The sequence below is a fragment of the Homo sapiens genome, chromosome 4, assembly GCF_000001405.40.
Source record: "Homo sapiens chromosome 4, GRCh38.p14 Primary Assembly".
In the NCBI taxonomy this organism is placed as follows: Eukaryota; Metazoa; Chordata; class Mammalia; order Primates; family Hominidae; genus Homo; species Homo sapiens.
Window position 1 is genome coordinate 89,879,265 of NC_000004.12, and position 24,594 is coordinate 89,903,858.

At 33.4% G+C, this 24,594-nt stretch overlaps 1 protein-coding gene across 4 annotated transcripts in view, besides 1 other annotated feature; it reads left to right on the forward strand.

The window, feature by feature from the left end:
* Positions 247-24,594, forward strand: part of MMRN1 (multimerin 1) — a 75,104-nt gene continuing 50,756 nt past the window's right edge. For 2 of the 4 annotated variants that reach the window (NM_001371403.1, XM_047449831.1), the window contains exons 1-2: positions 247-338; positions 15,460-16,330. In NM_001371403.1, coding sequence (NP_001358332.1) covers positions 15,708-16,330 — 623 coding nt within the window. In that variant the 5' untranslated portion in view covers positions 247-338; positions 15,460-15,707. Of the gene's footprint in view, positions 339-15,459; positions 16,331-22,718; positions 22,852-24,594 lie in introns of those variants that run through there. The other 2 variants (NM_007351.3, NM_001410735.1) reach the window with 2 other exon arrangements.
* Positions 19,041-19,241: a silencer, noted in NCBI's record as "peak5070 fragment used in MPRA reporter construct". NCBI's record gives its function as "represses an SCP1 promoter by STARR-seq MPRAs in K562 erythroleukemia cells {active_cell/tissue: K562}" and the evidence as "EXISTENCE:reporter gene assay evidence [ECO:0000049][PMID:32103011]".

A 24,594-nucleotide genomic window follows, 5' to 3' on the forward strand; every position in this document is an offset into this window, starting at 1 on the left:
ACTTTAATCATGGTGGCAGCTAAACCTTCAGGTTGTATAACACTTTTTAGTAAGAGCTCTAGGATCCTAGCTACACTGAAAGGACGTGAGGCAGGCTGGGGGTCAGTGCCCTCAGACATCTTAGTTTCTAGGTCCCTGGACTTCTGTTGCTAGGCATTCACTGAGAGAATAATGGCAGGGCTATTGTAAGGGTGGTTTTCTCCCCGCCCTCTTCAAACTTGTCTTTCTCTGCTTCTGAAAATAAGTGAATATTTGGAGACAGCCTACAGAGAGGCCAAGAGGTTTCTGCTTCTATTGATGTTAGCATTTGGTTATAACCACGGGCAAAGAATATTAAGGTAAGAGCTACCGATAATTTTTTAAATTAACATTTGCTTATTTTTGTAAGATAGAACTTTGTTAATGTTTCTTCAAATAAGATTACAGGTCTATTTCAAGTATTAGTAGTTTAGCTCTTTGTGTAACATACACTGTCTTTAAAAAAAAGCATAATTTTCCTTTATAATGGGCACTTAGAATGCAGTAAGAATGTGTAGAGAAAATGTTCTGGCAGAATTCAACAAGACATGTGAAAATAGCCTGAAGAAAAGCATTTATGTTGAAAACTGTTATCATGTTATTGTTTATGGCATTTTGATTGACAGACTGAATCCACTACTAAATCAACAAACTTTGTACTGTGGAACTGTTAATCTTTTGGACATGGTATGATGCTGGTTTTAATTTTACAGATATTCTGACTGCTCTGGGTATAGAAACCCTGGGGGAGGACAATTGGTGCACTTACAAATATAGCTGCCTGCTTTTCTTTTGAAGTCAAACTCTGGTTTAGCTGTTTACATGTTTTCTAATGTAGCAGAAATTGACTTCTTTGTGTCAACACAATTTCTAAGAATCTAAATTAAAACATGAAATCAGTTAAGTTGGGGGAGAAGGTTGAGTTTAAGCCCTAAAGTAAAAGGATTTGGGTTTAAATGGCAGTTCTGTCCCCTCTCAGCTGCCATATCTTGGGCAGTTACTTGACTGCTTGTTAAAATGGGGATTCTGAGTCACTATGTCACAAGAGTTTTAGAGAAATTAAAAAAGATATTATAGCTTATATGCCACTTAATAGAGTGCTTAGCACAAAATCAGTGCACAAAGAGTTAACCATTACCTACTATAATTACCTAAAGAAGGAAATCAGTATTAATCTGCCCTTCTATTGGCATCAGAAAATTCAGAAAATCTGCAAGTTGTCCAACAAGAATTTACAGAAAAGGTGAGTCACATAGAAGGCTCTGTGGTGCTTAGAGTAAGAATAACTTTGCCTTGAAGATCAAAGAAATTCAAGGATAGATGAGTCCAGTCCCTTCTCATGATGAGAGGAGAGAAAACATAATGGACATTTAAGAATTGATAAATTATAGCTTTGGTTTCTTATATAACATCTCTCCTTTTTACCAATATCTCGCTTTACATTGTATGGAACAGTCCTAGGCAGTGACCCATGTAATCATGGGAAGAAGAATACAGAGGAGATAACTGAGGCTTGGCAAGATCAAGGGATGTGTCTAAGACCACACCAGCAATCCCTGACAGCAGGGATGTTAAAAAACAGTCTCAGGCTTGATCCTCATATTTCTTTCTACACTGCACTGCATGTAATTCTAAAAGAAATGTTAAAGGGTTGAGAGGGAAGAAGTCCATAAAAATGTGAGAAAAACTATGTGCTTTCATAAAGTCGATAAATGTAATAACTATTGGGATTTAGTAGCAGAAGCACTGATAAATTAAGGGTAAGGCATTTGTTGGCTCCTTTAATGCAAATCTGCAGAATTGCTTTGCCTGTATTCACTGGAACTTTTTCAGTGACTAATTTCTTTAATTTAACCAATGATAACACAGTTTGCATACAGTAAGCTAAGCAACAAATTAACTGCCAGTGGAGGCAACTTCTTAATTTTATTGGGGCATATGCTAGCATCTAGTTAAGTTTAAATTCCAATCTGGCACATACTTACTTCAAAACTCAAACTACATTTGTAAATTTTAAGCAAATACATTTGTAACACATTTCTTAAATGTAGGACCTGCTTATTTTGAGGTGTTAAAGGACTCCAACAGAATGTGGCCGTTTTCTAGTCATGACATACAAAATCTCCACAAGTTGAGAATGAATGTTGTATGTACTTGTTTTGTTAAAAATGATTTCTTCTAACTGTAAAAGCAGGTGTTCTCATTTTGTATGAATTCTAATGTGTGTATAAAAGAATTATATGCCTTTTCATTTTCTTGTAAATGAAGGATGATAGAATATTATTGATATTAATTAAAGAATATTATTTAATATTCATTAAAGCCGTTTTGTGTTTGTCAAAGGTGCCCATGGTGAATGGAAGAAGTCTTTTCTAGTCAGTACTGTTACTACAGCTCTGGTATTGATTCATCTAGTATTGATTCATATTTTTGCCCAATTAAGTGCTGTACACCTGCTTCAATTCATTAATATATTGTTGCAAGTTGTGTACTGAATTCGCTTTGGTTGCACTACCTTTAAACTTATAGTTAGCCTTTCAGAGCTAAACAGTAATGAGTCTAGTGTAATAACGTATGCATTAACTATTATTGAAAATATTTCAGATGAATGTAAATTGCTTTCTGGGCTATTTTGTATTTTCACTTTGATCATAACACTTGTTTCCAATATCTATACCTTAAATTTATTACTAATGAAAGTTTGTCAGCAGCGGGGGTCTCTCTAAATTTAAGCTAAATAACCCTCTCAGAAAGATTACGTTAGTATTTTGGTGATGTTGATGTATCACAATCACATTCACTAGAATGACCATACGTCTTTAATTTAATTACTATGATATGGAGTGGGGGATATTGTTGTCTCTTAATTTTACTACCTTAAGTGGGTTTTGTCATGTAAAAAAGAGAATTTGGATTGCTATTCAACTACTTCCTATGAGTTTTTATTGTTGTTGTCTCTATAAATCCATGTTCCTAATATTGAAACATTTCTATCAATATTATTTTGTATAACAGTATATATATAAATATATATAATCTTAAGAACAATACTGAACATTTTTTCTTTCTTTAATAAAATTAGAAAAAATCTTCTCAGTTTTAAATTTATGTGCATTTAGGTGATTTTAAGAGGACATGAATGAAGACAGAGTAAGGTATAGAAAGACTACTGATCTAGTTTTAGAAAACTTAAATTTTAGTTGAACACTTTTAACAGTGAAGTTTTCTTAATGCTCTTTTGCATTTTTTTCCTCCATTTAATGTCCTAGTCATATTACATCTTTGATAAATGTCAGTTCAATTTAAGTTGACTCTCTGTGTTGTAGATAATCGCTGCTGTCCAGAAGAATATATATGTTGTATTCAGTAAGCAAAAGATTGAATACTTGATTTAAGAAAGATGAATACAATGATAGGAAGAGGCAAACATTCTTTATTACATTTTCATTAAATTCTTTTCTTTCACTTTAAAAACTTAATGTGTAATATATACACATTAAAATGCACAGCTGTTAGGTGTTCTGCTTCATGAGTTTTGACAATTGCATTCTACTCAGAATCTACAACCGAAAGCAAGATGTAAAATATTTTCATCATCCCAGAAATACTTTCCATGTCCCTATCCAATCAATCTTTCCTCCTCTCCTCCCCAGAAGAAACTTCCTTCTGATTTCTATCATTGTAAATTAGTATTTCTTGCTCTTGAACTTCATATAAATATAACTATAACATAAGCATTATTCTTCATCTCAAATCTCTCAGTAATCATATTGATTTTTGACATTCATAGATGTAATTGCATGTATCAGTGTTCATTGCTTTTCATTGCAGAATATTATTTCATTGTATGAGTGTAATATTCCATTCCTTGTTTATATCTTCTTCTCTTGATATTCTCTTATATTTGGGCTGTTACGAATATTCTTGAACAAGTCTTTTTGTAGACACATTTTTTATTTTCCTTGTGTAAGTATCTCAGGCAAAATTCTTGAATCATGGATGACATGAATTTTCAACTTTATAATTGCTGCACAATTCTCCAAAGTGGTGGTACCATTTTATTCTACCTGAAACGTATGAGTTCTGATTGCTTCACTCCACTCCCATCCAACATTTGGTGCTATGAGGCTTTTTAAATTTTAGGTCTCTTAATGGGTGTGAAATGGTATCTCAGTGTAGTTTTAGTTGCTTTGTTTTGCTCCGATCACTAAAGATGCTGAGACATCTTTTCACATGTCTGTTAGCCAGTTGTGTATCTTCCTTTGTGATGTGTCTGTTCAGGGCTTTTGACAATTTATTAATTGGATTGCTTGTCTTTTCATTATTAATTTATAAGAATTCATTTTATATTTTGAATGGAGTAATTTGTTCAAATATCTAAATTTCTATTATTTTCCTCCAAGATGTGGCTTGCCAATTTGTTTTCAACTATGTCCTTTGATAAACTAAAGTTTTAAATTTGGAGGAGATGCAGTGTTTCAACTATTTTTAAAAGGTTCATGTTTTCCGTATCTATCAAATAAATCTTTCTCTATACCAAGACCATGAAGACATTTCCTTATACTTGCATCTACAAGGTGTATGGTTTTAATGTTTATATTTAAATCTATGAAACATCTCAAATTAATTTTTGGATTTGGAGTGGGTTCAAGGTAAAGGTTCATTTTTTTAAATTCACGTATTTGTTCCAGTATCATTATTTAATAAGATATTTTACCATTGAATGGACTTGGTACCTTTGTCCAAAATTGGTATAGATTGATTTTTGGACTATTTTGTCCCGGTGCTCTATTTTTCTATTTTTACACCAATATTATAGTATTTTTCCTTATTGTAGATTACGTCTTGACATCATGTAGTATTAACTATCCAATTTTTTTGGAAAATTGTTTGAGTTTTTAGATCCAATGTGTTTCTTTATTAATTTTAGCATTGCTTAGAAATTTAATCAACAAAAATCTGCTAAGATTAATTAATATTGTATTGAAGGTATAAGTAAACTTGAGGAGGATGGGCTTTTCAAAATATCAAGTTTTCCAGTCCTTGAACTTGGCATATTTACTTATTCGGGTGTTTCAAAAAATTTTTGGCAATATCTTGTTGTTTACACTGCAAAAATCTTGCAAAATTTTGTTTATTCCAAGATTTTGATGGGTTTTTGATGCCATTATAAATGGAACTTTAATGAATTGCTGTTCCCATTGCTTGTGGCTAGCATATGAACTACGATTAATACATGAATATTAATCCTTTATCATGTGAACTTGCCTAAATTCACTAATAGTGAATTATTTTTCTTTTTCTTTTCTTTCCTTTTTATAGAGACAAGGTCTTGATATGTTGCCAAAGCTGACATTCCTTGGCTATTCACAGGTGCAATCAGAGCACAGTGCAGCCTAGAACTCCTGGGCTCAAGTGATCCTCCAGCCTCAGCCTCCCAAGTAGCTGGGACTACAGGAGTGTGCCACCACACCCGGCTTTAAAAACTTTGAGAATTACATAGAATTTTTATGTACACAGACAAGTCATTTATATATAATACAGCACTTTACATTTTCCTTTCCAGTCATCCTGCTAATTTCTTTTATTCCTTATTGCATCAGCTAGGATTTTCAATGCAATAGTGAACATAAGTTGTGAGAGCAAATATTTTTGTTTTTTCTTTTTATATTGGGGAAAAAGCATTCAAAGTTTCATAATTAATAAAGATGTTAGCTATAGACTCTTTGTAGATGCCTTCTATTACTAGTATGCAGATAGATTTCAATATAAACTAGTGTTTAGTTTTGTCAAATGTTTCTACAGTATCTACTTAGATGTATATACATACATTTCCTTCCCTCCCTCCCTCCCTTCCTCCCTTCCTTCCTTCTTTTTTCCTTTCTCTCTTTCTCTTTTCTGTCTCTGTCTCTACTTTCTCTCTTTCTTTCATTCATTCTAATATGGTGAATAACATTGCCTGACTTCTGAGTGTAAATCAACCTTAACTTCTTTGAATTACCCCTGTGGGATCATGATATATTAGCTTTTTACACAATGCTATCATTTTGTTTAATACTTTTCCTTTTATGTCAATGAAAGATACTGGTCTGAAGTTTTGTTTTTCTTGAAATTTTTTTTGTAATATTTGGTATTAGGTTTTTGTGGCCTTATAAATGAGATTAGGATGTGGTATCTCCTTTTCTGTTTTTGAAAAGAATTCCTGAAGATTTGTATTGTTTCTTCTTCAAATGTTTACTAGAATTTACTAGCGAAGCCATTTTGATCTGGAGCTTTACTTGTGTGAAAGTTTTTATTATGAATGGAGATTTTTAGTTTTCTAAATGTCTCTTTCTACCAGTTTTAGTTTTTAAAGGAATATTTTCATTTCATTTAAGTTGCCAGATATATTGGCATAAATTGTTCATAATGGGACCTTACTATTCTTGCAATGTGTGTAGGCTCTTCATAATGTCTCTACTTTTATTTTCTAACAGTTACTATCTCTTCTCGCTTGTTTTTCTTGATTAGTCTTGCTAACGGTCAATTAATCATATTAATTTTTACAAAAAATCAACTCCAAAAATTATTTTTCTTTCTTCTTTGCCCATTTTCTGTTTCATTAATTTCTGCTATTATTTCCACTATTTCTTCCTTCTACTAACTTTGGGAAAATTTTGATCTTTTTTACCTATTACTTAAAATGGAAGCATACCTCAATAATATCATCCCTTTCTTCTTCTTTTTTTATTTTTTATTTTTTATTAGCAACTATGCCTGGCTAATTTTTTTTTTTTTTTTTGTATTTTAGTAGACGTGGGGTTTTGCCACATTTCCCATGCTGGTCTCAAACTCCTGAGCTCAGACAATCCGCCTGCCTCAGCCTCCCAAAGTACTAAGATTACAAGCGTGAACCACTGTGCCTGGCCCCTTTCTTCTATTGTAAGATAGGTATTTCAAGTGACAAAATTGCACAAAATTTGATATGTTTTGATTATCATTCAGTTACACATATTTAAGACATCCCTGTTATTGCTGCTTTGACTGAGGATTATTTAGAAGTATATTGTTTCATTTAAAATATTTAGGGATTTTTAACGCTTACTTTTATTTATTGTAACTTAACAGTTTTGTGTTTATAGAATATTCTCTTTATGATTTTTATGCTTTGAAACTTACTGAGAAATAGTTCATGACCCAAAACATATTCTGTATCAATGAGGGTTCCATGTACATTTAAAAAGTATGTGTTCTGTAGTTGTTGGATGTTCTATGAATATCAATTAGGTCCAATTGGTTAATAATTTTGTTCGAATCTTCTATATCATTGCTGATTATGTGAATATCTGTCTACTAAAGGAAGGATGTTAATATCTCTGACTATGATATTAGATTTATCCATTTCTCCCTTTAATTCTGTCCATCTTGGCTTCATGATTTTTATTTTTTTATTTTTTATTTTTATGGCTACATAATGGTTGTACATACTTATGGAGTACATGTGATATTTTGATACAACATACAATGTTTAATTATCAAATCAAGGTAATTAGGATATTGATCACCTGAAATGTTTATCATTTCTTTGTGTTATGAACACTTCATATCCACTTCTCTAGTTATTTTGAAATATACAATGAACTATTGTGAACTATAGTCACCCTATTGTGCTACTGAACCTTATATCTTATTTCTGCCATCTAACTGTATTTTGTATCCAATAACCAACCTTTCTTTATCCCCTGCTCATCACTACCCTTCCCAGCCTGTGATAACCAAAATTCTACTCTCTACCTCCATGAGAGCAAATGTTTTAGCTCCCACAAATTAAAGAAAACATGTGTATGTTTTTGAAGCCTTTGTCAAAAATTATTGATGAAAGCAGTTGAAGGCGACACAAAAATGGGAAGATATCTCATGTTCATGGATTCAAAGGATCAATATTGTTAAAGTGTCCACACTACCCAAAGCGATCTACAGATTTAATGCAATCCCTATCAAAATACCAATGACATTCTTCCAGAAATAGAAAAAAATCCTAAAATTTAAATGAAACCACCAAAAATACAGAATAGCCAAAGCAATTCTAAGCAAAAAGAACAAAGTTGGAGGAATCATATTACCTGTCTTCAAATTATACTACAGAGCTGTAGTAACCAAAATAGGATGGTGCTGGCATGAAAGCAGACCCATAGACTGATGGAACAAAATAGAGAACCCAGAAATAAATCCACACATTTACAGTGATTTTGGCTTCACATATTTTGAAACACTACTAGGTACATTTATATTCAGTATTATGTGTTCTTAACTGAGTCTCCTTTCATCCTTCCTTGCCCTTTTTATATGAAGTGAGTATTTTCTAAATATTCCATTGTAATCCTACATTGATTTTTAAACTACATTTTTGTTCTAACAATTAAAATATGCATTTTAATTTATTCTAGTATATTTTCAAATAACATTTTACTTCTCACATATAACATCAGAATCTACTTATAACTGTGTAATTCCATTTACACACCTGCAGGCTCTTTGTGTTCCTCTGTCTTGAATTTTAACTACAAATGCTATCAATCTCACCATACATTATTGCTGTGATTTTTATCTCAACAGTCAAATTAAAAAAAAATTTAATTCATTATAATTTCACACTACATATGAAATTATAATGCTCTCTCTCTTCTTCTTTATTTCCTCCAATTATAGGTATGTTGAACCATATGAAATTGTTCTACAGATCTCAGACACTATTCATTTTGTTCACATATTCATCTTTTTTGACTCTATAATAAAGATAATATCAATTATCTACATTTTTTAATTGATAAGATAATATCAAATTTGTTTACATATATATTTAACTTTTCTGATGCTCTCCATTCATTCTTGTCAATCTAGCTCCATTTTTCTGTAGTTTCTCTTTAGCGCAATGGGTTTCTCTAGTATATCTTATAGGGTGGGTCTTCTGAAATCAAATTCTTTCACGTTTTACCTATTAAAGATGTCTTTATTTCCCCTTTACTTTTGAAGGATATTTTTACAAGATATAGAATTATAAGTTGGCAAGTTATTTTTTTCCTTTGAGCACTTTAAAGATGTAATTCTATTGCTCTCTCTCATCTATCTGACTTAATGAAAAGTTAGCTATAATTGTGTTCCCCTTTATGTGATATGGCGTGTTTTTTTTTTTCCTGATAACTCATCAATTGTGTCTCATCAATTTTGGAAAATTCTTACCTATAAATCTTTAAAAAATTATCTTTTGTCCTATTTAGTCTCTCTTTTCTTCTTTATTCCCTCCATTTATAGGTGTGCTAAACCATATGAAATTGTTCCACAGATCTCGACACTGTGTATTTCGTTCACATATTCATCTTTTTTGTGTTTCAGTTTTGATAATCTCTTCTGACCTATTTTCAAGCTAACTGCTTATTTTCTTTGATATTTCCAGTATGCTATCAAGCTTATCAAATGACTTCTTCATTTTTGATATGTCTTATTCCTGGCATTTTCATTCAACTTTTTAAAAAATAATTTTTATCTCTGCTGAAATTCCCGTTCTGTTCAGACATGTTGCCCATCTTCAATACCACATTCTATCATAGTTATTTGAAATTCTCTCTCTTATACTTCCAATATCTTGGTGTTTTCTTGATTTTTTTAGGGTTTCTCTCTTGACCATGAATTACATTTTCTTATTTTTTATTTGTCTTACAATTTTTATTGTATGAGGCATTATGCTTAAAAGAATAATAAAGGCTATAGTAAATAATATTTACCTCAGAGAAGGACATTCTTATTCTGTTAGCCGTTTAGTGTAGGAGCTGAGTTATCCCAATTTGTAATTGAGCTAGGTCTAATATAAACCAAAATTGTTGTAGCATTAAGTTTTAACTCACCACGCTCTTAAAATACTTTGAGGACGTGATAAGGATTTTCCTTTCAACTAATTTTGAGATCTGAGCACAGGCAAAGCTCTGGAGAGCTCTTTATCCTTGACAATACAGAGAAAAAGCTCTCTGAACTGTGTGTGATACGAGGCCTAAAATTAAGACACAGAATTATGTGCCGTCTTGACATCTGAAACCAGAGGGCGTCGAGGGCCTTAACCCAAAAGTTTCCTTCCCCACTCTGCTCTTGTGGATAAGGTCCCCAGCCCAGTATCCACTGCCTTATCAAAGGGACCAGGCATAGTTCCTGCTTATCCCTGAGTAGTAGGTTTCAGTTCCCTGCCAGCCCACAGAATTATTCGAACAAGCCAGTCACATCCGCCTGTGGGAGCCAGGGGACACCTCATACTCTTGATATTACAAAGTCCGCCTTCTAGCATTGTTGATTGTTCACTGTATTCCCGAGTGCAGCCCTGGTGTGGCCCTGCGTGATGTGCTGTGCCCTCTTCCCCAGGGCTTTAGTTTATGTATAAACTGCTTCCAATCTCATCAATTCAACACTAGACATCATGTGTTCACCCATTCTTATAACCTTAGGGTGGGAATTCCTCCCTCACCAATGGGGTGAAGAGAGGATGATTAAAACACTACTTTACAATGAAAAATCTTCTTCTACTTGCAACGAAAAATCATTTTTAAAACAATCTCTAGTACATTCTCATTTCTTTCCAGACCCACCCCTGCATTTCTATACCTTGGAAGACATCTTTCCAACCTCTTGCCTTATCTCTAGCCTTTGGAGGACCTTTCCTCCAAAGTCACTCAGTGAAGACCTGCCATGCCTTGAAGCTACTGATTTTCATTCTTTTCTTTTCACTCAGCTTTTGGAGAGCCATGGCAGTGTACTCAGGCGAGGCTTCTTGATGAAGAAATTTCTGGCTCCTCTGTTGGCCTTCTCTGAGACTACCCCAACAGAAGAATGAGGGTTGGGACACCTTGTTATAACCTCATGAGGTGGAAGTTTAATTCTCCCTTCAGGCTTTGCTGGCAAGGGTGGGTTCTTTTGTCTTTTATTTTGCTTTTTTTTTTTTTTTTCCCCTGTGCTCTATGGTGGGAGTAGAGTGGTTATTTTCTAAAAACTTTCTCTTCTTTCCAGGCTGACAATTCTCTAGTCCTTGGCCTAAAGAGAGCTTTTATTGGGGCTTTTATTGTTTCTGCCCATTGGCGTTCCTAGTTTGCCAAATTCTCCAGTACCCAGAAATGAGGCAAAAGTAAACTTGGGAACTCAGTGCTTCATTGTTCCTTGGGTCACCTAGCCATTCTGCCTTCTTTTCTCCACTCTTCAGAGTCTTATTCTATTTTTTCTATATATAATGTCCATATTTTCAGATGTACTTAGCAGAAGGAATAGGGAGATATGTCTATTCCATATTTCCAGAAGTGGAAGTCACTAATGATAATCACTTGATAACCAGATACAGCTTTCCATTAAGAAAATGAAAATATGGTTATTTCTAAAATGATCAAAAGAAATGCGTTTTGAACTCTTTCACTTCAAGGGTACTGTTCTGCGTAAATGGGAAATATAAAATCAGCAATGACATGGTTTTGTGAACTATTCTTACATTCATTTTCTCATGAGGGGCATTTGGTCATCTTTATCAGTATGTTCCTTATGATCTTATAAAGTTAAAATTTTAATATTAGGACAAATATGTTGTTTTTTTTTCCTGATAAACTAATATGTTTCTCTCACTTAATATTAAGAATTATATAATTCATTAATTGTCCATCTTCCCTTTCCTGCCAGCCCACTCAAACCTAAATTTTCTTACTTCCAATTTATTTGCTTATCTTAAATTTTTCTAGCATCACTACTGCTTCATTATCTTTTATTCTACAACTCCCAGTCTTTGGTTTATTATTCTAATGTGGCTGTGACGGCTTCAAAATAAACCTTCTCATATTTATTTTGAGAATAGATAATATAGAAACAATGGGCTTTCTGAATTTTCTTTAGGAGTAACTTACAGGAGGCAATCTGACTGAATGGGTATTTCAGAAGACTTTTGAAGGTGTGTTCCCGGAACAAGTTCATTATATTTATTTAGATTACTTTTTTTTTCTTTTGTGTGGCTATAATAATGTGAAATAGAGCCCTCTTCAACCCATTTGTTATCACTATACATAGGAGTATGGTCATAGCTTCATCTATTCGTTCACTGATTCAACAAATATTTACCGAATACCTATTGAATCAGGATTGGGCATAAATATCTGTTCTAACAATTACTAATGTGTTACCCTAGGAAGTTATTTAACTTCTTTAAGTTTAACTTCCCATGAGTATAACAAGAATAGAATACTTACCTAACATGTTTGTAAGAATTAAATAATATGCCAAATTTAACTTACCTAGCACATCGACTCATCAAAATCATGCAGAAATCAGTTTCTCTTCTTCTCCAGCCCTTTTGCTGTATGTTGATAACCCCCTTTGTCCACATGTAAATTTGACAGGTTTTCAATATTTTTCAAACACCATTAAATTGAAAAAGCTCTAAAATTTGTTTTCTTCTATTATTTTTTGACAGATATGTCTTATGGAGGAAGGTAATAATGAAATCATATTTTGGATGTTTTAAACTATTTTAAGAAAATAGGAATTTCTCATGTGAAAAATGAAGAAAACAGCTGCTGAAAAATCCTATTAATCTGGTGGAAGTTAGCCCATACCCCCAACATTTTACAAAGAATAAGTCTTGCAGCTATAAAAATGCTTTGAATAGTACACAGCACCATCTACAGTGAACTCCTCAATCTAAGATTCTCTTTTAACTCACATTTATATTTTCTTTTAACTTAATAATCTTTTTTTGTTTTTTTTTCTTGTGGTTAGAAAATTAATTCATATGCATTATAAGGTGGAAAAGAACCAAACCCATTATCTCATCACCTACAGACAACCCATGTTGCAGTATATAGTGAATCCTATGTTTATGATACAATGAAAAATGACATAAAAATCTCCTGATAACTCATAATATAATAAATTTCATGATTTTTATCTTATAAAATATTCATGGTGAACAAATGGCAAGATGGTAAAACATAATTTAATATGAACAACCAAGTGGGAAATGGGAGGTATAGCAAAATGACAGGGTCCAGTTATACAAAACTGATGATATAGTTTAATCCAACAATAGTATTTTAGTATCTAGTATCTAGTATAATAGTATCTAGAAGAATGAGTAAACTGAGTACTCTTCAGCCAGTCATCTCAGCAATATTATTTTTCTTAATTGTTATTTAATGAGTATTAATTAGTCTCAGAAAGAAGAATTTGAGACAAGGTCTCTGACAATTTCTGGAGTATTTTATACCTCTAATTAAGGGCTGATCCATATACCCAAAATCACTAAATGAGCTTGAGATTCTCTGGGGAGTTAAAGTGCAAGATGGCTTAGTAGATCAATAGTGAGATACAGAACCTTTAGCCTTTTGATTTCAGGGTCCCTTGTAAGCTAGGATAGGGGTGAGCAAAAGTCATTATTGGTCAATACCTTATAAGTGGTTAAATGAATTGCTTAGCTTTGTTCAGTTTTTATTATCATTGGATAACTATTTGTTATCAGTTATAGATCCAATGGGTGACATTTTACCACTAAAGTTCACTTGCCAGACCAGGTTTGAACAGTCTTTCAAACTGTAGAAGAAAACAAAAAATCAGTGAATGTCATTATTTTGGCAGTTTTGTAAATCTTCAAGACAGTCCATTCATCTATTTTTACTAAAGCTAGGAAAATTGGTGTAAAATTGAATATAAATAGGAACATTTTTCCTAAATTTTATGAAATTACTGCTCTTCCATAAGCCAAAGCTAGTTTCTTCTGTGTTTTCCAGATAAAGACACTGTAAAGCCTTTTTCTTTCTACTGAAAACCATGTTTGTATTGTGACAGTTGTGCAGTTTCATTGCTCTTTTGCTCTTTTTAGTAACTAATCGTTTCCTGGATTGTCTCTGCTGGACCTTTTTGCTCCTTTACTAAGGCAAGGTTTGTGGATTGTTCTGTGGTATATCTGAGAAACGGATGCTTTTTACTCCATATCAGAGTCGATTGGGGTTGCTGATGATTGTCTTAGTTTAAATAAATACTCTCTAGTAGGTCAACAATACACTTACGGAAATAAATGGCAAAGATTGAGGGAAGAAAAAAATATTAATCCCAAGTAGTTAGTAGCTCAAGGAAGAATTAGGCCTTATTTCAAATCCTGGTGCACTGTGTCCAGGAATAAGGACTAGAGAAAATATCTACAATAAAACATAACCAAGCAGGCATTAGATTTCCAATTCTCTAATTTTGAAAGACGGAACTTAATAATCTAATAACAAAAAATAAAATCTAATAATAGTTTAACAATCAATGACTGAATATTTAGCAAGAGCATAATGCCTGGCACAGAAGTTGACAGAAAAATGGGTTACACATGGATTTAGCTTCCAAATAACATAACAGACATTTAGCAAATTGACAGCAAAGAATATTTTTGTTTTCCTTATAATCCTAGCACATAAGAGAGTGCTTTGCACAGAATGAGGGGTTATGTAACTACTGAATTCATGAATACATAAATAAATGAATGAGTGAATGAATGAATGAACTATTATAACTTAGTTTGTATATCTATTTAAACAGACTGATATGAAATTTTATAGATAAGAGGTTAATTGAAATCTGAGGATCAGAGATTTGCTGGAGAAATTAAATGATAAATCTCATGAAACATCTCTACCAGAAAAAAACCCATAGAAAACTCAGATAAATCTGGTTCTCTGCTACCTACAACTGGCATAATTTTGTCCTACAGTAAATGTATAAAAGCATTCTATATGATCCCATTTTAATTTATTTTTATGTGACTCCATTTTTTCTTCATCTATCCCTTACTAGTAAAATATTGGTTACCCCCAACCATCAGACAATCGTGATTGGAAAATAAAGGAAGTAAAATTCTGATTATTTATTCCATTAGTGGGTATCTCTGGTAGAAGTTCCAGGAGCAAAATTTAAAGTGACTTCCTGGTATACCTGTCTAATTCAATTACTTATGCTTTCCTTTTCTGTTATTACTTATAATCATTGAGATTAAGTAATGATACAGCTGAAGTGTATTTATAAAAATAGAAAGATATACATGTATGTAGATAGATGTTTTATAATTCAGAGTATATGTACTATATGAAAGGATAGAGACACTGTAAACAAGCTTTTGATTATGTGTATGCATGTGGATATACACTTGAACAAAATGCAGCTTTCTGGATAGAGCACAGCAGATAAGTATCATAAAAACTTTTCTCAGTGTCTTTATGTAGTAGAACAAAATGTTAAAACTGTATTCAGCCTATATCAACAAAATTTTGCACTCTCTATCGTGAACCTGAAATTTCTCTTTGAAATCAGTGAAACGTGAAACCAGGGTGTGCTCAGGAAAAGAAAGTTACTTCATATTTTTTCATGGGTTTTCCTGATAATAATTGCCTGTGCTTTCCCATTTACCCTTAGCTTTGTCAGAGACCCTTCAGCACTTCCATAGAGCCATCCCACTAGAGGTCACAGATCACAAAAACCCTACAGAAACAGGAAACCGAACTTCCTGAGTACGCTACAAAACACAGAAACCTGTTTCCTCTACACATCTCAAACTGGCAAAACTCAGTCTTAGCAGATTCAGTGTGGAAGCAGCTATCAAAAAGGCCATAAGGATTTTGTCCCCAAATTTCACATGAGCTACCTTGCTTCAAACTACTGAGATGAAGGGGGCAAGATTATTTGTCCTTCTTTCTAGTTTATGGAGTGGGGGCATTGGGCTTAACAACAGTAAGCATTCTTGGACTATACCTGAGGATGGGAACTCTCAGAAGACTATGCCTTCTGCTTCAGTTCCTCCAAATAAAATACAAAGTTTGCAAATACTGCCAACCACTCGGGTCATGTCGGCGGAGATAGCTACAACTCCAGAGGCAAGAACTTCTGAAGACAGTCTTCTTAAATCAACACTGCCTCCCTCAGAAACAAGTGCACCTGCTGAGGGTGTGAGAAATCAAACTCTCACATCCACAGAGAAAGCAGAAGGAGTGGTCAAGTTACAGAATCTTACCCTCCCAACCAACGCTAGCATCAAGTTCAATCCTGGAGCAGAATCAGTGGTCCTTTCCAATTCTACACTGAAATTTCTTCAGAGCTTTGCCAGAAAGTCAAATGAACAAGCAACTTCTCTAAACACAGTTGGAGGCACTGGAGGCATTGGAGGCGTTGGAGGCACTGGAGGCGTGGGAAATCGAGCCCCACGGGAAACATACCTCAGCCGGGGTGACAGCAGTTCCAGCCAAAGAACTGACTACCAAAAATCAAATTTCGAAACAACTAGAGGAAAGTAAGAAATCTTCTTTTCTTTTTGTTCTTTCTCTGTCTATCAGGTCTAGAAGATTGCAAGTGAAATTTACCTCACTCCCAGAAAATTATTTCAAATTCAAGATGAAATTGGATCATATTTATAATTTCACCATTTCAGTTAGATAAAGTTATTGTTAATTTATCTAATAGGGAAAAATGAAGAAATAAAATGCAGCAATTTTGTTTTAACTGAAATAATCATTCACTTTTCTACTCACTTATAGAGGTAGTTTTACTTAGAATAGTCATTGCCAAGCAAACTAGCACCACGGTGGCTGTTAGTTTAATTCAAGGATATGTTGATTGTGTTCCCAACCATATTCACAATATGAAAGACAAAAATAAACAAATAAATAAAATTGGGGCTTGAACAGATGTGAAAATTGGAATAGCAGTATTATAAAAAGTAACAGTTGTCAAAGATCGAAACAAGCACACCAGGGGTGCAATCCTGGCTTCAGTATGGTCTAGTTCCATGATTTTGAGCAACTCAGTTGATGTCTGTGAACCTCAGTTTCTTCATATGGAAACTACAGATTTAATACAAGGAATGTCAATAAAAATAAAACTTTGCAGGGTTCTCGTTCAGATAAAAATGAATGAAAAGTGCTTAGATGCATGCTCCTCACAGAATAGGTGCTCAACAACTCAAATTTTGCTAGTACCATGATTATTTTGAGTTGTGTTGCCATCATGAATATGATGAATCAGAAAACTTATTTTTCAAATTAATTTTAATTTAAAGTTAGAGCAATTTGAGTGGTTGAAATAAAATAAAACAAATTTAAAGGAGTGTTGTTAAAGAGGGTTTTCAAAAGAAGTGATAGTCAAATCAAAATAAACAAAGAAAAAATATCTGGGTGGGTCAATATTTTATTCATTTAATGCTCAGAGTCATCTGTATGTTTGGAATACTAGAAGTTTAGTATTGCAAAACTAAACTTACAAATAGTTTTTACATGTAATAATACAAAGTCAAGACACCAGACATGTCTTGGGAGCAAAATGGGGTTAAATATCTTACTAATAATAAAATAAAATCCAAGTTAAAAATAGAAGTTGACACACCTGCTATGTGAAAGACATTTAGTTAAAGCTGTTGCTGATATAAAGGTGAGAAGAAGAGAGACACTGGTAAGAATTCTAGCCAATGAATTTACTTATTTCTGTATTATTTATTATTCAAGTCTATTTTTCACTATATTTCAAAAGTTATAGAATTTTTCGAAATATATAAGTAAATCTGATTGTAACTAAAAAAGTATTCACTTGGTGGACTTTGGAACAATCCCAGCTTACTGTAAAACAAATAGTACAGATTACAATATGTTCACTTTGGGACAAGTAGATTTGCCATTAAAAAAACATTTAACAGACATGCATTAATCTTTCTCACTTTGGGGGACAACAGGATTTTATCTATTAAATAATCAGAAATGTCATTTATTGACAGCTTTTTCTAAATCACTTGAATGCATCATTTCTGTTAATCATATTTTATTAGAGGCTGTAATTAAATTTTTAAAAACTAATTACAGTAAAACCCTTGGACATTCATGGGAAACGATTGTGAGCTTTTCAGAGATGCTATAGCTAAGAATTTTTTTTTTTTTGAGACGGAGTCTCGCTCTCTTGCCAGGCTGGAGTGCAGTGGCACAATCTCGGCTCACTGCAATCTTCGACTCCCAGGTTCAAGCGATTCTCTTGCCTCAGCCTTCTGAGTAGCTGGGACTACAGGTGGTGTGCCATCACACCCAGCTAATTTTTGTATTTTTAGTAGAGATGGGGTTTCACCATGTTGGCCAGGGTGGTCTTGATCTCTTGACCTCATGATCCACCCACCTCAGCCTCCCAAAGTGCTGGGATTACAGGCGTGAGCCACCGCACCCAGCCAGAATTTTTTAATAGAAAGGGAAATATAATAAACAGAAAAAAGAGACAATTCAAGTTAAAATAGCATTTAAATTTTACATACCATATAGAAAGTGGCATACAGTTGTGTCATAATTAGAACTAGTAACTAATAGTTTGATAAATACTAGTTTTTAAATAAATGCTAGTTGTGTTATCCAAGGTCCTTGCTTTCAAATGTTGGGAACAATTTGATGAATATTTATAATTTGCCCATCATGTGCTAGCACTGTGCTAGGCTTTGGGTTACACAGAATTTAAAAAAATAATAATAATTCCTCTGTCTAAGGAATATTCCCTATAAAAAGTAAACACTAACATACCTATCAGACTTCAAAAAATGTTAATATGTGCTATGAGAAAACAAGATACTAAAGGTATAACTTGCTGAACAGAACTTTATCCTCTGGATTTTCTAACAAAAATAATCTTAAACTCCTTCTATAGAAAAGTACTAACTGCATGTAGGGATTCTCTTATTTGAGGTCCTGGAGAGCCTGAGGTTTTCTTTTAGTAATCCTTTCCATTACCAAGATTCCTTACTCATTAGGCCATGCAAATGACAATGGCATTAGAGAAAAGCCTAGGTCCTTCACTTTTGGACACAGTGCTGCTGCAAACCCTTGATATGGTCAAAAGAAGTCCTTCGTACTTTCATTTGATTGGCAAATAATAATAATAATAGTAGCAAACACTTATATGGCATCTGTTACTAGTACTCTACTATTGTCAGTGAATATATTCACTCATTTAATCATTACTATAACTCCATAAAGAAGAGGAAGATTTTTATCATTATTTCTTTACAGAGGGATTAAGTAGCTTACCTAAGGTCACTTGGCTAACAAAGCTCAGGGCAAAGACTCAAATCCAAGCTGGCTGGCTTTAGAGTTGTAGCTCTCAGCTCCTACATTACACTCCCTTGGCAGGTACAGTCTCTTATCACAAGTGGGAAGATAAGCGTGACCAGTTCACTTCCCAGCTCGTGAGGCTTCACAGGCTATTGGTTGCCTCCAGAATACAATCTAGATTTGTTACCCAGTTAGTCACACGATGCCATCCTAGATCTGCCTCCTGCCTACCTCCCCAACCTCATCTTCCGCCACTTCCGGCTATTCAAATAAGTGGTTCTCTGGTACAATATGTGCTGTTTGTTAAACCCACCTTTCTTCCCTGTCTGCCCCTGTGACTAACAATGGGCCCTCTTTTGCCATCGTTCTCTCTTTTCACACCTAATAATAACTCCAGGAAGCCTTCTCAGGTGAAGTTAGGTGGCCTTTCTAATCGCTCCTACAGGTCTCTTTGAATTCCCCTGTTCACTGCACTTACGACACTACATAATAATCATAATGAATTTGTAGTATCTTTGCATATAGGGACTTATTTTCAGAGCTAGCAAAGTCTCTGGTTTATAGCAGGTACACAATCAATATTTAATCATACTGAATGTGAAATATGAGGATTAATATGTGAATATAAAGAAGAAAGCTTCCCAAATATTTGCATTTGTTTATGAAAAAAACCTGGTTGATTTAGAATAAACTCATATTTGTTCTTTTTTCTACCATTCTTGGAATTTTATAATAATTCTTAGTAAAAGGCGTATTTATGTTTATTACAGGTTCTTTTCTAGATTATTCAGGATTATTCTGGCATATTTTTGTTTCATCTTGTAGTTTTTCTTCTTTTTTTTTTTAGCCTTGCAGGAACTCCTGGCCAAAATAGACCTATGGTTTCCTGTCTGGCAGAGTGGGTGTTAGTCAATGACCAAGCACTTTGAAATAGGAAGGATGGAAATAAGAAATTAGGATTAGTGTATTTATATGTTGAACAAATATTTGCTGAACACCTTATCTGTCCCAAGCACTGTGCTTGTGCTGGGAGTAAAACAATGAACAAGAACTCCTACATGTCCTGCCTTATGGAACCAACAGCCCAGTGGCAGAGGTGAGAGGAGGAATAACAGTGAATCACAAATGCTGATTCTGAATGAAGCTTAAGAAATTGTAGTGTATAATGGGGGGAATGGCCTACCAATTGTGAATGGGGTCAGTAAACCTTGCCTGAGAGGATAATAGGTGAAATGAGGTAATGATACAATCTAACTGCCTACTTAGCTTTTCCCACAATTCCCAACCCCTGTACACATGTATCTTAATTTTTACCAAATCAGTGAATGGCTAGTTCCATAACTAGAAACCTTGGATAGATCTTTGGCATTTTTCTCTCCCTTCTGGTTTTTATCTAATCTATCAAAAAGTCTTGTTACACCTCTAATACATCCCAAATACCTCAACTTCTCTCCATCTTCTACTTGCCGTTATTCACCACTAGTGTTCTAATTGGTCCACTTCTTTCCACTCTTGTCTACCATAATCCATGATCCACAAAAGGGAGGGATCTTTTGAACATTTAAGTCAGATTAATGCATTTCACTGGATTAAGTCTTCATTATTGTAAGTGACACATTATTTTAGGTACTAATCAGAAGGAAAAGTATGACATCATACTTGCTTAATTTGAATTTTTAGATTTGTCTTTCAGACTTTGAGATTTTGGTCACATATCACTTTTGCAAACTTAAGAAGGAAATGTAAATGAAACTGGTAAAGTATTTCGAAGGCAATGGCAACAACTGCTATCTGACCACTAGTGACTGAAAAATGCCTTTGATTTCAAGACACATTCTTGATTTCAGAGATGTATGTCTTAAAATGTGTGAAATTTGGTCTTTCATTCATTGTCACACTCCAAGATCACTGCACTTCATTTCCTCCAGCCACACTGGCTTCCTTTCTGTTTATTGAACATGTCAAGTTAATATCTCAAAGGAAACTTTTTTTGCTCTTGCTGGAATGCTCTTTCTGCACCTTTTATAATGAAGGACTCCTCTTCCACTTGCACCTCCAGCTTTAATGTCACCTCTTCAAAGGGACCTTCTCTTACCACCCAATGTAAAGTTAACTATGCTCTCACTTGCCATTCCTTATTTTGTCACCTTTATTTTTTTCTTTGTAGGAATTATTTGAAATTATTCTACTTATATAGACAATGGTGTATTTTATGTCTTTCCGCAATACATCCCATGAAAACAGGGACCTTGCCTGTCTTATTACTACTCTATTTGCTGCCTAGAACAGTGCCAGGTGCATAGAAAGAGCTCAATAAAACTCTGTAAAATCATGGATTATTAGATGGGTTTGGCATCCAGAGGGGAGATCAAGGCTAGAGATATAAATTTGGCAAAGCATTGGTATATAGAAATGTATTAAGTCATGAATGTGGATGATACTGAAAGAAAGAAGGACCTTGAATTATGAACGGAGAATCTCTAATATTTGATGAACTGATAGTGGTGGATGCCAACAATACAGTCTTAAATGGGGTGACCAGAGAAGTTAGGAAGGAATCTATAAAAGTGTGGTGTCATAGAGCAAAGGAAGAAAATATTTTAAGAAGGAGGTAAGTGATCAACAGTGTGAAATGCTGCTGAAAAAGACAAAATGAGGACTGAAAAATAGCCACTATTTCAGTTTAGTGAGCACCATGCTCTGGCCTGAGAGAATTGAGGTATGAAGGAAGGCAAAAGAGAGCCATTAAAGCCAACTCAATTAAGGAGGGCTTTTATGAAAAAAAAAAAAAAAAAAGGAGAAAGTGGTCAGAAGCCAAGGCTAGTCCAGTTATTTATGTTTTGTGTTTGTTTCTTATAATATTTCATTTTAAATACAGAGGGCTCATACATATGTTAACATGTTAATGAGAAGGGTCAGAGGAAGGTAAAATTTGAATATGCAGAAAAAGAGGGATTTTTTTTCTGAGTTTAATGACAAATTAGAAAATTAGAAATTATTATTTCTGAGTTTAATGACAAATTAGAAAATTATTCTGAGTTTAATGACAAATTAGAAAATTACAAAAATTAACCATTAAATTCTGCTGTCATACTTTTTTTCTGCTCATTTTGTGTGAATTATGAATAGGTTTTAGAAGTGAATTATCTGATCAGCTAAATTCTTGTGTTGTTTTCAAAGTTATTATTAGGCCTAATAACATCCAAAATGGGTTATTCTTACATGCTGTTAAATTCTAAAGAGAAACCATTATACTAAAGGGTATTTTCTTATATCTTTGTGAAATAGATGTCTCTATTACATTACTGCCAGTGAAATAAACACTACATAAAGTATATTCTCTATCAACTTTTACCCATTAATCACATTCTTTATTTCATTACTTTGCTGTTTCTACTCTGTTACTATAAATATATATTGCATTTCATATGCTAGAATTTAATGAGTGCTTATATATTCCTAATAATTAAGTGGGAACTTTTTGTATTCGCACAACTTCTGCTTTTCTGAATATAAAACTATAATTTTAAATTTATTATTTGGGGGTAAATGCTAAGAGAGTCAGTTTACAGGAACTGGATTAAGCATAGAATTCTGCATCACGGCATCCGTTAGCCTGCCTTTGTGGTCTGCACGCTGGGAAAGCCTGACACCTACTGGAATAGAAACAGTTTACAACGCCCGGAATATGCTCAAGTCACAGTTTTGCAAGGAAGGGGGAAACAAAAAATAAAATTAGGTAAAAAAGAGTATGTTCAATTCCCACAGGAAGGGGAATATCACACTCTGGGGACTGTGGTGGGGTAGGGGGAGGGGGGAGGGATAGCATTGGGAGATATATCTAATGCTAGATGACAAGTTAGTGGGTGCAGCGCACCAGCATGGCACATGTATACATATGTAACTAACCTGCACAATGTGCACATGTACCCTAAAACTTAAAGTATAATAAAAAAAATAAATAAATAAGTTATAGAAGAGAAAAAAAACAAATTTATGGAAAAGGTTATATTAAAGGTTGACTTTAAGAATCATTACTTATAAAATATATATGTTATACATATTTAATTCGATGTACCACTTTAAAAATATACTACTTTTCACTTTAAAATTGGAAAATAGGTTGGATCCAAACAGCAAACTCTATGTACATCCTGTGATGGCCATACATTCGGCTCGTTCTCATAAAACTTTACACTGACAATATTGTGTATAGACAGTAATTTGTGGCTGTGAGGCACTCTACAGTCATCTATCATTGAAAACTCAATTACATTCACCACACTGTTCCCACTACAGAAAGCAAATAAAATTATGCCTGACAAAAATATTTTAATTGCAAAAGTTGGTACATAAAAAAGGGTTTCTTCTTAAAGTCTAAATTAACCATAAATCAAAGTATCTAAAATTCCCCATAATCTGAGCTTTGCATAATTGCTTTTCAAAAAATTATTTTAAATATCAATTTATTTATATGATTCTTTTACAAAACTGATATTTTTATCTCAGTTTGAATACTATATAAAATTTTGTAAAAGGATTAAGCATAGAAAGATACACTACAATAAAAGAACCACAAACATAAATTATTTTGTTGTTAGGAAATAAAACAATGATTTTCTTAAGGAAATAAATATTGAGATGAACTTGTCTTTTGGACTTTTAGCCAAAGCTAAATATCAAATGTCTAATGCTTTATTTAAATATAATTTACATATCAAGAATCTTTTCACTAAGTGTAAATTATTGCTTCCCATTTTTATTATCTTTTTTCATGTATATATTTCCCTTGAATTATTTTCTCATTTATGACTAGTGAACTACATGCAAATTATAGTCTTTCAAATTAATAATTTGATTAAAAACTTCTCTTTTTAGCTTGATTGGAAAAAATAAAGATTTCAATAAATAGATTCTATAACACTTTGGAAGTATTTATGTTCATGACTTCTTAAGACTGTAGAGACATTCTGAAAGTTTTTTTTTTTTTCCTGAGAGGCAAGCTTCATCTGAATTGAACATAAATGATGATGATGGTCTTCTGTATTGGCTTTATGGAAATTATTGACTTGAAACATACAAGCAATTATGGTTAAGATGAATTTATCAGGTCATTAAAGAAGCAAAACAGGAGCTGTGTTTCTTTGTATCTGAGGCAAAAAAATATTGAGGCCATATTATATATATCCTCTTCAAAAAAAATCCCGCTTAACTCTGAATCATTTAATTATTATAAGCAGTGATAGCAGCAAATATTTTACTTTTCTTAAAACATTTAGTCTCACGACAATCGTGTGAGGTAGATAATATTATTGTAGATGCTTCGTAGATGAGGTAGTCACTTTTGCCAGACAAAGTCATGGCTATAAATTGTGGAGTCAAGATCTAAAAGCAGGTAGCCTGGCTCCAGCGACGAACTATGTTATGGGAAATTTTTCAGGGAAATTTTTCTTTATTTTCTTTTGCTTATGCAGATGTGCCC